Source organism: Homo sapiens, chromosome 9 (genome assembly GCF_000001405.40).
Source record: "Homo sapiens chromosome 9, GRCh38.p14 Primary Assembly".
Lineage (NCBI taxonomy): Eukaryota > Metazoa > Chordata > Mammalia > Primates > Hominidae > Homo > Homo sapiens.
The window spans coordinates 24,567,675-24,584,165 of NC_000009.12; the positions used below are offsets into that span (position 1 = coordinate 24,567,675).

Below are 16,491 nucleotides of genomic sequence, written 5' to 3' on the forward strand. Positions count from 1 at the left end.
CAGAGTTTTAGGTGCTCAGTTTCCTGGATCATGTATCATCCCTCTGTATTTGAATTTAGCTTATAGAATAGGGGAAAGATGATGTATATTTCCATTTTTTCAGCAGATGGGCATAAGTGCTGTATGCATTATTCTGAGGAAGAATATTTCAGTTAACTATTGCAGTAATATTTCTGCATAACAGACCACTCTAAAACTAAGTGATTTTAAATGACAATAATTTATTATCATGGGTCTGCTTTAGGCTGTGGAGGCTGGAGGATAGCTCACCTGGCTGGTCTCTGCTAGGCAACTTTGCTCCATGTATTTCTTACTCCTCACATGGAATTTGCTGCATTGTTGGGGCATATTTTTAGGGTGATGAGAAAGGTGCATAAAGTTAAGCAGAAATCTGCAAGGTTTCTTAAGGCCATATCTCAAAGGTGTCATGCTTTCCCTTCTACTCTACTCCATTGACAAGTTACATGGCCAAGCCCAATAATGTGCCATGGAAAGGGTGCATATGATCATGAGGCTACTAATTTGATCTACCACAGAAGAATTGCAGTGTCTAACAGAGATCTAGTTTAGCAGATTAAATTCCAAAAACTGACAAGATGGCTCGGTACGGGCATTTAGATAAAAGCTCAGCCGTGTGGACATAAGCTGTGTTGTAGCTGTTTACATTGCCTAAATCTCAGGAATATTTAGATTAAGCTTATTGCTGACTCTATTCTAGATGGTCTGGTTCAGGGTTCAGATGCAAAACATTTTATTAAAGGAGCAGGTCAACAGTTAGGTGAAGATACGGCTGTTTGGTGTGCACCCCTGATGCCACAACCGCCTCTGTAAAAGACAGATGTTCACCTAGCAATTTTCAACTCATTTTTATTCCACTAGATTTTATATTGAATCTTCTTCATATAAATAATGTATTTTTCAACAAACAAACTGATAAAGTAATCTACCATAGTTAAAGTGAGTGTTGGACATCTATTTTTATTGTTTGTGCAGTAAAAATAGATTTGTGTCCATACCGTACTCTAGTGTGGCTTTTTAAAACTTCTAGGTCTTATAAGTATGCTTGAAAAACATAGTTCCTTTCGCTCATTGAATCTTTCCTAATTATATTAGCACTTACTATTGAATTCCTATTTCTCTTATAGTACATATCACATATTTTGGTATTTCAGTGTCTTTTTGAAATATTGAGGTAAAATTTACATAGAAATGCACAGATCTTAAGTGTGCAATTCTATGATTTTTGACAAATGTGTATAGATTTGTAACTATGCCTCAGTGAAGACATAGAACATTTGCACTTACCTACTTGGAAATTTTCTTTGCACCCCTTCCAATCTTCATTCCCACACCAAGGCAGCACTGGTCTGACTTCCATCACCATAGGTTGGTTTTGCCTGTTAACTGAACTTTATTTAAATTCAATCATGGATTACATGCTCTTCTATGCCTAGTTTCTTTTGTGGATCAAAATATTTTTGAGATTCATACATGTTATTGTGTATGTCAGTTGTTTATTTTTTGGCCTGTTTATTTTTTAAAAATTCTGAGTAGTATTTAATGGCATGAATGTACCACAAGTTGAATATTCATACTATTGATGGGCATTTGGATGATTGATAGTTTGTAGCTATTAGGAATGAAGCTGATATAAATATTTTTGTATATGTATTTTTCTGGACATACATTTTTACTTATGTTGGGTCAATATCTAAATAAGCAGATTTCTGGGTCATGGGATACATTCATGACACCAGCTGCAAATTTTATTCTAGAGTTTTTGTATAATTGTGCACATCTATCAGGAAAATATCCTATTTGTATCAGTTTCTTAACAGATCTGATGTTGGCATTAATGATCTTTTAAATATTAACCATTCTAGTAAAGTAGTGTCTCATTGTGGTTTTAATTTTTCATTTCACTGGAATTAATGATGTTGAGCACCTTTTCTAGTACTCATTGGACTTTCACATATTTTCTTTTATGAAGTGTCTATACAAGCCATCTGTTTTCTTCTATTCTTTATCTCCATCTGTTTTCTTATTGAGTTGTTTGTCTTTTTCTTAGTGAATTGTAAGAGTTCCTTATATTATCTGGATAAAACTCCCTTGTCAGATGTACATATTGAAAGTATTTTTCCCAATTCCATGCACCGCATTTTTAGTTTTACTAATGCTCATAATTTCTTACCAGAAGTTTTAGTGTCAATAGAATCCAATCCAGCATTCTCCACATGTGTTTTGTTACCCATTTAAGAAATATTTGTCTATTTCAAGGTGGCAAGGAAAACCTAGCTAGGTCTTTTTCTAGAAGCTATGCATTTAGCTTTATGTTTGGTTTTCTTCTTCTTAAATAAATTTTTGGGTGTGGTGTGAGGTAGTCAAATGTATTTCTTTCCACATATTTATTTTGATGCATCAGCATCATTTATTGAAAAGATTTTCTCAGCGTATTGTCTTGGCAACTGAGGGACATCATTTGACAATATATATGTGAGTGCATTTCTGAATTTTCTATTATGCTTTATTGATCTATTTGTCTATTTTAAAATCAATAAAATACTTGTTTGGTAGGTGTGGTTTTACATGAAGTCTTTAAATATGATAGAGTGAGTTCTCCAACTTCGTGCATTTTGAAGAATCTTGGATTCATTTTGCATCTTCATATTAGTTTGTAGACCATGCTTGTCTATTTCTGCAAAACATCTTTTTTAAGTTTTATTTGGAATATATTGAATATATGAATAAATTGAGAGATAATTGACATTTTAACAATGTTGAGTCTTCCAATCAATGAATAGAGCATGCCTTTCCATTTATTTAGTTTTTAAAAAATTATGAGTTAGTTTGTAGGTTTTGGACAGAAATCCTGATAAGTTATTGATAAATGGCTCATGTTTTCTGATATTATTGGAAATAATATTTAAAAACTTATCCAATTTTTTGCTAATTATATGTAAAAATATATTTTAAAATTGTGAATTTATAGATTACAGTCTTGTTAAGTTTACTTTTAAGTTTTCTTAGTTGTTCTGTAGATTTCTTAGGATGTTCTAAGTAGCTAATTATGTAATCTGCTATGGAGACTATTTTAATTTTCTTTCATATTTACTTGTCTTTTATTTATTTATCTTGCTTTACTTTCCTGGTTAGGATTTCCAAGACAGTGTTTATTAGAAGTGGCAAGAGCAGAAATTGTTGAATTGTTTCATTCTTAATATCTCAGTATTAAGTCTGATGTTAGCCCTGTATTTATTGCTGCGCTTTTTCAGGTTGAGGGTTTCCTTTATTCCTAGTTTGTTAAAAATTTAAAAATAAAGGTGCAAAAATGTTGTCAAATTCCCTTTTTAAATGTATTTAATTACTTTTAAAATTTTTATTAAAGTTGTAAAATAAATTGGCTGATTTTTGAATGTTGCTCCAACTTTACATATCTGAGAAAGAGCTCATTTCATGTGTTAGTAGACCTTATTTATTACTTAGTTTGTTAATTTTTTTTTTTTTTTTGAGATGGAGTCTGGCTCTGTTGCCCACGATGGAGTGCAGTGGCACGATCTCAGCTCACTGCAAGCTCCGCCTCCCGGGTTCACGCCATTCTCCTGCCTCAGCCTCCCGAGTAGCTGGGACTACAGGCGCCCGCTACCACGCCCAGCTAATTTTTTGTATTTTTAGTAGAGAAGTGGTTTCACCGTGTTGGCCAGGATGGTCTCGATCTCTTGACCTCGTGATCCACCCGCGTCGGCCTCCCAAAGTGCTGGGATTACAGGCGTGAGCCACTGCGCCCGGCAAATATTTGTTTTTTATGTATTTTTTTTTTCAACTTAGTTCAGGGGTACATGTGCAGGATATGCAGGTTTGTTACATAAGTAAACAAGTGCCATGGTGGTTTGCTGCAGATAATCCCATCACTTTAGTATTAAGCCCAGCATCAATTAGCTATTCTTCCTGATGCTCTCTCTCCCCCTACCCCAACCCAGACAGACCCCAGTGTGTGTTACTACAGTGTAATACCATTATTCAACTATCGTTTATGCTATTGTCATATTACCATGTGTGTTAGAAATTTCCATAACATGTTATTGTCTTAGTCTGTTTGGACTTCTATAACAAAATACCTTAAACTAGGTAGCTAATAAATAACAGAAATTTATTTCTCCCTTTTCTGGAGGATGGGAAGTCAAAGATCAAGGCACTGGCAGATTTCCTGTCTGGTGAGGGCCTGCTTCTCCTATATGACACTCTTCCCATTGTGTCTCACATGGTGGAAGGGGCAAACAAGCTCTCTGGCCTCTTTTGTAAAACACTAATGCTGTTAATGGTGGCCCCACCCTCATGACCTAATCACCTACTAAAAGCCCCACCTCTTAATGCTATTACACTCGGGATTAGATTTCAACATATAATTTTTTGGGGGGTTGGGGGAACAGACATGCAGACCACAGCAGTTATTTTGTGCTTTAAACAAATCTTCCAATTAAGAGAATATATGCTCACATATTTATCATTTCTTTTTCTCTATAAATTCAAATTTTTTTCTGAGTTTTATTTTAAAAGGAACTGAGGAACTATTGTATTTTTTAATGCAGGCCAGCTGGCAATGACTTTCTCAACTTTCACTTATTTATAAACATATAGGCCTAAAAATGCATAAAATGAACCAATTCTATAATGTTACACATAATTAGTATTCTTTATTAAGTCCTTGAAAATATTCACATTAACTGTTTCAAAGTTCTTTTCTATATTCTGTTTTTATTTATTGTTTTCCTTCTTGATTCGGCATTGCTTTTCTCTGCTTTTTCTCACATGCGGTAACTGTTATATAATGGCCATTGCCAAAGCTATGTTGTAAGTAGTCTGAATTATGTCATCTTCTTTTAAAAGTTTTTGAACTTTGTTCTGAAAAAGAAATTAACATCCCAGGAGCTTTTTATTTTTTTTCATTCTGGCAAACTTGGTTTTACTTTTTATAAGAGCAAGTATATTTTTCTTTTGTCTTTGTTACTAATGTGTCCTGTGACCTAGGAAATGACCCTTACTTCTAAATTCTAACCTTTTCATGTCCCAACTAAATGCACAAGGTGCTCATTAGGGTCTCTTTACCCTTGCAGAGCTGAAACTCCAGTATTTTCTAACATTGTGAGACCTCTGGTGTCTTTTTCAGTCTTCATCTCTGAGTATTACTCTGCAAGTTTTCATAGTATTGACTTACATATTTGAAACCCAGACATTGGCAAAAGACATGTCACTAACTCCTGTGAAGTCTTCCATGCTGTTTACTTCTAGCAGCTTTCCCTTCTCTAATACCTTGCGTACAAATTACAGTAAGTTCAATATTTTCTTCTTTTGCTCAAGAAGATTGTGATTATTTGGGGGGGCTCTATTCCTGTTCTGTTGTAGAAAAGCAAGATGTCAGAAAACTAGAATGACTGTTTGCTTTTGTGTCTCTCAATAGTCAGACAGTACTGTCTGATGTGAAGTACCTAAAAAAGAGTTGTCTTATACACTGTGTTCATGTTTACAGTTAGTGGATGTGTACATCCAGTGTAAGTTATTTCATCATAGCTAGAATTGTTCTTTCGTGGTTTCTTACAGTTTTATTGTGATTTACTTTTGGCTTCATAGTTATAATATAAACTTTTTACCAAATGGGCACGTATTTTAGATACATGTAAAAAATATTTTCCAAACAGTAGGTGCTTAATAAATAGAAGCCCAGCATATTAAACAGAAGTCAAACAACTTTTGCTGTTCTTTGTCCAAGAGACTGTCCCACACCCATGAGCTTTAGCTTCTCAATACAGATTTTTAAACGACACTTAGGAGTCTTGGCTACTATAAAACACTACTTCGTTTTTTTCCGTCTTGCCTCAATATCTTGACAATTTCTAGGATAATATTCTTACTTACCTCTTTAGTCCACATGTCTCACCACAGGGACAGACGCACTCTTCACTTGGCATATCAAGTGATTACTGAAATGTACATTTTTTCAGGGTAACTACATTTTAGTGGGGATTACCAGAGAGAATAAGAATACTAACATTTATCCCCTGCATTTTTTGTTAGTCCTATAACAATATAGACAGTTAGGTTGTATTGTTCCTCTTTTGCAAAGACAATCACAATAAATAATTTTCCTGGGATATAGATATTGAACTGTTAGAACCTATCTTCCCCAACCCCCTCAACTGATTTAATTTCATCTGAACTTTAGTAATGTTATTTTTAAAATATAAATAATACTACCAGCCTCACAGGGTGATTTAGAACATTAAACATTATAAGTGCAAAGTTTCAGTCAGATATTTGATTAGTTTCTTCCTCTCTAGAAAGTTGTCTTGAGCGCCCAGTATATGCATAGTTAGAGTGAGATTTGAATCAGTATTTCATCAGTGCCTCTTACTTTATAGCCTGCACTCTTTGCAAGGTACCACTTAAAAAAATTTTTTTCAGGTAATTCTTTTCTATTATTATTATTATATTTTAAGTTCTAGGGTACATGTGCACAATGTGCTGGTTTGTCACACATGTATACATGTGCCATGTTGGTGTGCTGAACCCATTAACTCGTCATTTACATTAGGTATATCTCCTAATGCTATCCCTCCCCACTTCCCCCACCCCACAACAGGCCCCGGTGTGTGATGTTCCCCTTCCTGTGTCCAAGTGTTCTCATTGTTCAATTCCCACCTGTCAGTGAGAACATGCGGTGTTTGGTTTTTTGTCGTTGTGATAGTTTGCTGAGAATGATGGTTTCCAGCTTCATCCATATCCCTACAAAGGACATGAACTCATCCATTTTTATGGCTGCATAATATTCCATGGTGTATATGTGTCACATTTTCTTTTTTTTTTTCTTTTTTTTTTTTTTTATTATACTTTAAGTTTTAGGGAACATGTGCACATTGTGCAGGTTAGTTACATATGTATACATGTGCCATGCTGGTGCACTGCACCCACCAGCTCGTCATCTAGCATTAGGTATATCTCCCAATGCTATCCCCCCCCCCTCCCCCCACCCCACCACAGTCCCCAGAGTGTGATATTCCCCTTCCTGTGTCCATGTGATCTCATTGTTCAGTTCCCACCTATGAGTGAGAATATGCGGTGTTTGGTTTTTTGTTCTTGCGATAGTTTACTGAGAATGATGATTTCCAATTTCATTCATGTCCCTACAAAGGACATGAACTCATCATTTTTTATGGCTGCATAGTATTCCATGGTGTATATGTGCCACATTTTCTTAATCCAGTCTATCATTGTTGGACATTTGGGTTGGTTCCAAGTCTTTGCTATTGTGAATAATGCCGCAATAAACATACGTGTGCATGTGTCTTTCTGGCAGCATGATTTATAGTCATTTGGGTATATACCCAGTAATGGGATGGCTGGGTCAAATGGTATTTCTAGTTCCAGATCCCTGAGGAATCGCCACACTGACTTCCACAATGGTTGAACTAGTTTACAGTCCCACCAACAGTGTAAAAGTGTTCCTATTTCTCCACATCCTCTCCAGCACCTGTTGTTTCCTGACTTTTTAATGATTGCCATTCTAACTGGTGTGAGATGGTATCTCATTGTGGTTTTGATTTGCATTTCTCTGATGGCCAGTGATGATGAGCATTTTTTCATGTGTTTTTTGGCTGCATAAATGTCTTCTTTTGAGACGTGTCTGTTCATGTCCTTCGTCCACTTTTTGATGGGGTTGTTTGTTTTTTTCTTATAAATTTGTTTGAGTTCATTGTAGATTCTGGATATTAGCCCTTTGTCAGATGAGTAGGTTGCGAAAATTTTCTCCCATTTTGTAGGTTGCCTGTTCACTCTGATGGTAGTTTCTTTTGCTGTGCAGAAGCTCTTTAGTTTAATTAGATCCCATTTGTCAATTTTGGCTTTTGTTGCCATTGCTTTTGGTGTTTTTGACATGAAGACCTTGCCCATGCCTATGTCCTGAATGGTAATGCCTAGGTTTTCTTCTAGGGTTTTTATGGTTTTAGGTCTAACGTTTAAATCTTTAATCCATCTTGAATTGATTTTTGTATAAGGTGTAAGGAAGGGATCCAGTTTCAGCTTTCTACATATGGCTAGCCAGTTTTCCCAGCACCATTTATTAAAAAGGGAATCCTTTCCCCATTGCTTGTTTTTCTCAGGTTTGTCAAAGATCAGATAGTTGTAGATATGTGGCATTATTTCTGAGGGCTCTGTTCTGTTCCATTGATCTATATCTCTGTTTTGGTACCAGTACCATGCTGTTTTGGTTACTGTAGCCTTGTAGTATAGTTTGAAGTCAGGTAGTGTGATGCCTCCAGCTATGTTCTTTTGGCTTAGGATTGACTTGGCGATGCAGGCTCTTTTTTGGTTCCATATGAACTTTAAAGTAGTTTTTTCCAATTCTGTGAAGAAAATCATTGGTAGCTTTATGGGGATGGCATTGAATCTGTAAATTACCTTGGGCAGTATGGCCATTTTCACGATACTGATTCTTCCTACCCATGAGCATGGAATGTTCTTCCATTTGTTTGTATCCTCTTTTATTTCCTTGAGCAGTGGTTTGTAGTTCTCCTTGAAGAGGTCCTTCACATCCCTTGTAAGTTGGATTCCTAGGTATTTTATTCCTTTGAAGCAATTGTGAATGGGAGTTCACTCATGATTTGGCTCTCTGTTTGTCTGTTGTTGGTGTATAAGAATGCTTGTGATTTTTGTACATTGATTTTGTATCCTGATACTTTGCTGAAGTTGCCTATTAGCTTAAGGAGATTTTGGGCTGAGACAATGGGGTTTTCTAGATATACAATCATGTCATCTGCAAACAGGGACAATTTGACTTCCTCTTTTCCTAATTGAATACCCTTTATTTCCTTCTCCTGCCTAATTGCCCTGGCCAGAACTTCCAACACTATGTTGAATAGGAGTGGTGAGAGAGGGCATCCCTGTCTTGTGCCAGTTTTCAAAGGGAATGCTTCCAGTTTTTGCCCATTCAGTATGATATTGGCTGTGGGTTTGTCATAGATAGCTCTTATTATTTTGAAATACGTCCCATCAATACCTAATTTATTGAGAGTTTTTAGCATGAAGGGTTGTTGAATTTTGTCAAAGGCTTTTTCTGCATCTATTGAGATAATCATGTGGTTTTTGTCTTTGGCTCTGTTTATATGCTGGATTACATTTATTGATTTGCGTATATTGAACCAGCCTTGCATCCCAGGGATGAAGCCCACTTGATCATGGTGGATAAGCTTTTTGATGTGCTGCTGGATTCGGTTTGCCAGTATTTTATTGAGGATTTTTGCATCAATGTTCATCAAGGATATTGGTCTAAAATTCTCTTTTTTGGTTGTTTCTCTGCCTGGCTTTGGTATCAGAATGATGCTGGCCTCATAAAATGAGTTAGGGAGGATTCCCTCTTTTTCTGTTGATTGGAATAGTTTCAGAAAGAATGGTACCAGTTCCTCCTTGTACCTCTGGTAGAATTCAGCTGTGAATCCATCTGGTCCTGGACTCTTTTTGGTTGGTAAACTATTGATTATTGCCACAATTTCAGCTCCTGTTATTGGTCTATTCAGAGATTCAACTTCTTCCTGGTTTAGTCTTGGGAGAGTGTATGTGTTGAGGAATTTATCCATTTCTTCTAGATTTTCTAGTTTATTTCCATAGAGGTGTTTGTAGTATTCTCTGATGGTAGTTTGTATTTCTGTGGGATCGGTGGTGATATCCCCTTTATCATTTTTTATTGCGTCTATTTGATTCTTCTCTCTTTTTTTCTTTATTAGTCTTGCTAGTGGTATATCAATTTTGTTGATCCTTTCAAAAAACCAGCTCCTGGATTCATTGATTTTTTGAAGGGTTTTTTGTGTCTCTATTTCCTTCAGTTCTGCTCTGATCTTAGTTATATCTTGCCTTCTGCTAGCTTTTGAATGTGTTTGCTCTTGCTTTTCTAGTTCTTTTAATTGTGATGTTAGGGTGTCAATTTTGTATCTTTCCTGCTTTCTCTTGTGGGCATTTAGTGCTATAAATTTCCCTCTACACACTGCTTTGAATGTGTCCCAGAGATTCTGGTATGTTGTGTCTTTGTTCTCATTGGTTTCAAAGAACATCTTTATTTCTGCCTTCATTTCGTCATGTACCCAGTAGTCATTCAGGAGCAGGTTGTTCAGTTTCCATGTAGTTGAGCGGCTTTGAGTGAGTTTCTTAATCCTGAGTTCTAGTTTGATTGCACTGTGGTCTGAGAGATAGTTAGTTATAATTTCTGTTCTTTTACATTTGCTGAGGAGAGCTTTACTTCCAAGTATGTGGTCAATTTTGGAATAGGTGTGGTGTGGTGCTGAAAAGAATGTATATTCTGTTGATTTGGGGTGGAGAGTTCTGTAGATGTCTATTAGGTCCACTTGGTGCAGAGCTGAGTTCAATTCCTGGGTATCCTTGTTGACTTTCTGTCTTGTTGATCTGTCTAATGTTGACAGTGGGGTGTTAAAGTCTCCCATTATTAATGTGTGGGAGTCTAAGTCTCTTTGTAGGTCACTCAGGACTTGCTTTATGAATCTGGGTGCTCCTATATTGGGTGCATATATATTTAGGATAGTTAGCTCTTCTTGTTGAATTGATCCCTTTACCATTATGTAATGGCCTTCTTTGTCTCTTTTGATATTTGTTGGTTTAAAGTCTGTTTTATCAGAGACTAGGATTGCAACCCCTGCCTTTTTTTGTTTTCCATTTGCTTGGTAGATCTTCCTCCATCCTTTTATTTTGAGCCTTTGTGTGTCTCTGCACATGAGATGGGTTTCCTGAATACAGCACACTGATGGGTCTTGACTCTTTATCCAGTTTGCCAGTCTGTGTCTTTTAATTGGAGAATTTAGTCCATTTACATTTAAAGTTAATATTGTTATGTGTGAATTTGATCCTGTCATTATGATGTTAGCTGGTGATTTTGCTCGTTAGTTGATGCAGTTTCTTCCTAGTCTTGATGGTCTTTACATTTTGGCATGATTTTGCAGCGGCTGGTACCGGTTGTTCCTTTCCATGTTTAGTGCTTCCTTCAGTAGCTCTTGTAAGGCAGGCCTGGTGGTGACAAAATCTCTCAGCATCTGCTTGTCTGTAAAGTATTTTATTTCTCCTTCACTTATGAAGCTTAGTTTGTCTGGATATGAAATTCTGGGTTGAAAATTCTTTTCTTTAAGAATGTTGAATATTGGCCCCCACTCTCTTCTGGCTTTAGGGTTTCTGCTGAGAGATCCGCTGTAAGTCTGATGGGCTTACCTTTGAGGGTAACCCGACCTTTCTCTCTGGCTGCCCTTAACATTTTTTCCTTCATTTCAACTTTGGTGAATCTGACAATTATGTGTCTTGGAGTTGCTCTTCTCGAGGAGTATCTTTGTGGCGTTCTCTGTATTTCCTGAATCTGAACGTTGGCCTGCCCTGCTAGATTGGGGAAGTTCTCCTGGATAATATCCTGCAGAGTGTTTTCCAAGTTGGTTCCATTCTCCCCATCACTTTCAGGTACACCAATCAGACGTAGATTTGGTCTTTTCACATAGTCCCATATTTCTTGGAGGCTTTGCTCATTTCTTTTTATTCTTTTTTCTCTAACCTTCCCTTCTCGCTTCATTTCATTCATTTCATCTTCCATTGCTGATACCCTTTCTTCCAGTTGATCGCATGGGCTCCTGAGGCTTCTGCATTCTTCACGTAGTTCTCGAGCCTTGGTTTTCAGCTCCATCAGCTCCTTTAAGCACTTCTCTGTATTGGTTATTCTAGTTATACATTCTTCTAAATTTTTTTCAAAGTTTTCAACTTCTTTGCCTTTGGTTTGAATGTCCTCCCGTAGCTCAGAGTAATTTGATCATCTGAAGCCTTCTTCTCTGAGCTCGTCAAAGTCATTCTCCATCCAGCTTTGTTCCGTTGCTGGTGAGGAACTGCGTTCCTTTGGAGGAGGAGAGGCGCTCTGCGTTTTAGAGTTTCCAGTTTTTCTGTTCTGTTTTTTCCCCATCTTTGTGGTTTTATCTACTTTTGGTCTTTGATGATGATGATGTACAGATGGGTTTTTGGTGTGGATGTCCTTTCTATTTGTTAGTTTTCCTTCTAACAGACAGGACCCTCAGCTGCAGGTCTGTTGGAATACCCTGCCATGTGAGGTGTCAGTGTGCCCCTGCTGGGGGGTGCCTCCCAGTTAGGCTGCTCGGGGGTCACGGGTCAGGGATCCACTTGAGGAGGCAGTCTGCAAGTTCTCAGATCTCCAGCTGCGTGCTGGGAGAACCACTGCTCTCTTCAAAGCTGTCAGACAGGGACACTTAAGTCTGCAGAGGTTACTGCTGTCTTTTTGTTTGTCTGTGCCCTGCCCCCAGAGGTGAAGCCTACAGAGGCAGGCAGGCCTCCTTGAGCTGTTGTGGGCTCCAGGCAGTTCGAGCTTCCTGGCTGCTTTGTTTACCTAAGCAAGCCTGGGCAATGGCTGGCGCCCCTCCCCCAGCCTCGCTGCTGCCTTGCAGTTTGATCTCAGACTGCTGTGCTAGCAGTCAGAGAGATTCCGTGGGTGTAGGACCCTCCGAGGCAGGTGTGGGATATAATCTCGTGGTTCGCGGTTTTTTAAGCCGGTCTGAAAAGCGCAATATTCGGGTGGGAGTGACCCGATTTTCCAGGTGCGTCCGTCACCCCTTTCTTTGACTCGGAAAGGGAACTCCCTGACCCCTTGCGCTTCCCAAGTGCGGCAATGCCTCGCCCTGCTTCGGCTCGCGCACGGTGCGCGCACCCACTGGCCTGCACCCACTGTCTGGCACTCCCTAGTGAGATAAACCCGGTACCTCAGAAGGAAATGCAGAAATCACCCATCTTCTGCGTTGCTCACGCTGGGAGGTGTAGACCGGAGCTGTTCCTATTTGGCCATCTTGGCTCCTCCCTGTCACATTTTCTTAATCCAGTCTATCATTGATGGACATTTGGGTTGGTTCCAAGTCTTTGCTTTTGTGAATAGTGCCTCAATAAACATACATGTGCATGTGTCTTTATAGCAGCGTGATTTATAATCCTTTGGGTATATACCCAGTAATGGGATGGCTGGTATTTTTCAGGTAATTCTTAACTGTAAGCATAGGATTAATTTTCTTGGCCATCATTCTCTGAGTCATTGAAAACATAGTTTGGTAGTCACTCCAATTGAGTTAAAGGATTTTCAGTTTCATTGGGTAAAATCACTATAATTCGAAACACCATTATTAATAGACACTCTAAAGACACTCATCAACTTTTTAACACATCGAGCCTCGTACCATTATAAAAGAAGAGTCAGTTTCAAAGTTTAACAAATTTTGAATCTGTGACCACTATTTGCATCTTATATCTATGCTCCTAACAAAAGGCAACCAAATTAAATGGAGGATTTATTATAAGGTCACTGTCATTGTATACTTGTATTTCCGTGTAACCTGTGATAACTATTTCTTGTGTTCACTACCTCTGACTGTTTTAAGCGAAAGCACACAAGGAACGTGTTAAAGGTCAGTTCAATATTGCTATGGAGTGTGATAACATTTGTACCTTAAAGAATGTCTAACATTGCAACTGATTTTTTTCTACAACTTTAGAACCTTTTTCATTATTCTAATATTACAGCCCTGTTTGTTGAATGAAGGAATGAGTGAATAAATTGCATAGCTTCTCATTCTGCAAATGCATGATAAATTGTAATTGAGGAGAGACCACTTGTTCTACCAGTTTTGAGTTAATATAGATCTGACTCTGCTATTTTCATAATCATAATTATATTATCATAGTTCCCAGGAATTATATCTATGTGAAATTATAAATAATAGTATTTTGGTGTAAAAATTTAGATTTCTAGCCCAGAAAACAATATTAACAAATGAAGAAACCCATTAACTACTGCATTTAAAACTTCATGTTTAAAGAAATGATCTATTAATATATTAACATATTTTGCTGAAATGTGAGAAGGGTCCCATAGTTCTCCAACAGTGTTATTTTAGACAATCATCATATATAAGAAAATCTATGAAAAAAAGGACAGCAAAATTACAAATAAATTAGAAAACTATGCTTGTGAGCCTGGAAGCACATATCACATACCTGACTATGCCATTAACTATCTGTACTTTTTATAAACATAATTGTTATCTTTTGTAGTCTCAGAAAATTGAGTTAGGTAATTTTTTGCATTCCTGTTTATTTTCTAAAATTTCCATGACTCAGAGAACACTTTCTCTATGCATTGTGAGCTACTTTGGATTATACAACTAACCAAATGGAGTTTGAAAGTATAATGAATTAGGTTTTCTCAGTTAGTGATATTCATTCTAAAATTTGCTTCTATTAATTTCTACTCAGTAGCCCTTTCATATTCACCCATAGATCATTTCTTAAAGTTCTAGAAAAAGGGGGCCCAGGTAAAAATTCATGATTTAGCTTAATAAAATATTCCTCAACTTTATCCTATGCATAAATAACATGCATAATTTTTGAGTTACACCTCTTAGATTTTTTTTAATAAAACTAAGCCTAGAATTTAGCCTTTTATGATTTATGATAAGTCTAGGTCATTCCACTACTAATTCTTACCTTTAAAGCATCAGTGCCTTTTGCTATCTGCTCCTTGGGATTCATTTATTAAGAGGCTGAGATGTGAACATCTGTCCATGTTCCAACAGAACAAATCATTCCAAATAACCTTTCTAACCCAAAGTTCAATGGATGAGGCAGACAATGATTTATATTTGAGGAATTTTGCTTTGCTTTTGCAACAAAAGCCATTCTTTTACTGTACTCTCAACAACTGCTTGTATTGCATTAATCAGACCTTAATTAACATGGAAGAAAGGTGATAATTTACATTTATTTCAGATTGACACATTGTACTTTATTTAGCAAATGAGACCTGTCAGGCACTGCCAGTGATGCTTAGATTGAAGACAGAGTGTCGAAAATATGTCTTCCACCTGCCTGTGCCTTTGTAGGAGGGAGCTTTCAGTATGTTTACACAGGGATCATTAGATGTACCTCATGCTAAGCTTTCATGAATCTTTGAATAAGAAATGCTCAAAGGTCATCAGGTATGAAATATTTTATAATGACACAGTGCCGTAAGGCATGAGAAACTGTGATTTATTCTCCAAAGTAAACTCAAAAGAGGATAAAGGAAAGAGAACTGCATAGGACTCAAAATAACTTCAGATCTATCAAAAACAGAAGAGAGGAGAGCTGAAACTATGAGAATAGAAGCTGAGGAAAAGTTTATTTACTCAGTGTCATTGTGCAATTTAAAGTAAGAGTTGGAGGACGGAAGTAAATAGACGACCGCTGTAACTGATCAACTTCTAAGAACAATAAGTGACTATCAAATGTCAGGAAGAGAGGAGAATTTAGGAATTATGAAAAACAGTCTGCTACGGGATGAAAACTGTTAATTAAAGAAGATAAGTAATTTCTCCCATTCTTGCTTTTGATTGGGCATATAGGTAAAGGTTGAATTTGAAATATAAGTTTAAGATAATTGAGAAGAATGAAGCATATAGTTAAAGCCCATATTCTGCTTTCATAATTTTCTTGACTTTTATTAGCATATATTTCAGACCACAGTTTAAGGCAGGCAGTGAGGGGAAGTCTTATAGGCTCCCTTCTTGCATGTTTGATGAGCCTGGCCACTTGAGCATCACCCAGAGCATACTGTCCCCATGCAGGCATCCACATCTTTGCTCATGTGGTCTCCTCTGTTGAAAGGACCACTCCATCCACTCGATATGGAAAATCTGTTACCAGCTTTAAAGTGTGTCTTGGATCTCCCCTCCACTTGGGAGCCCAGTACCATTGTACTCCCAGAGTACTTTAAGTCGTTCTTATCCCACTGCTTATATACCTCTGCTTACCTGTAATTCCTATTCATATTTATTTCCCCATGGCTTGGTAGAATGTCTAGTGCAAGGAAAAAATTTTGGTAGTTGCTAGTCAAATTAGATTAAAATTTTAATGAAAATTCATATTTTTGTAGCCAGTAAATAGTATTGTTTTAGGGTGAAATCTTGTGTATTTGCTCTTTTAAATGTAGCAGTTAACTGGTGCAGGGATATGCAAGTCTACCACGGAGTGTGCATTGTGGCACTATTTATATAGTTTATGTGATGTGTGTATAAGTTTAAAATGTTAATGCATGTAAACAGTATATTCTCAAAAATTCATCGCCATTTATATAGTTTTGAAATGTATAGACTCTTCCTTTTTAAAATTAGTTTACATTTTCATTGACATAAATCATTAGAAGAAATTAAACTTTTTATTCACTGAAACCATAGTTTAAATGCTGATTTTTCTCTTTTATAATATAAAAACTTACATATATTACTTTTGGTAAACTTTTTAAAGTTTTATTTTCTTTGTCTAGAGATTAAAAGTTAATAATGCCTACCTCATTTTTTTTTTAATTTCAAAAGGTAAAATAGATCCTCAAAACCTCTAGCAAATTTTAATTATCTGATTAAATGTTTACTATCT

At 36.8% G+C, this 16,491-nt stretch overlaps 1 annotated feature.

Annotated features, from left to right (window-relative positions):
* Nucleotides 11,983-12,610: an enhancer, noted in NCBI's record as "OCT4-NANOG-H3K27ac-H3K4me1 hESC enhancer chr9:24579655-24580282 (GRCh37/hg19 assembly coordinates)". NCBI's record gives its function as "activates a minimal SCP1, AML or CMV promoter by ChIP-STARR-seq in naive and primed H9 embryonic stem cells {active_cell/tissue: H9 hESC(naive and primed)}" and the evidence as "EXISTENCE:reporter gene assay evidence [ECO:0000049][PMID:30033119]".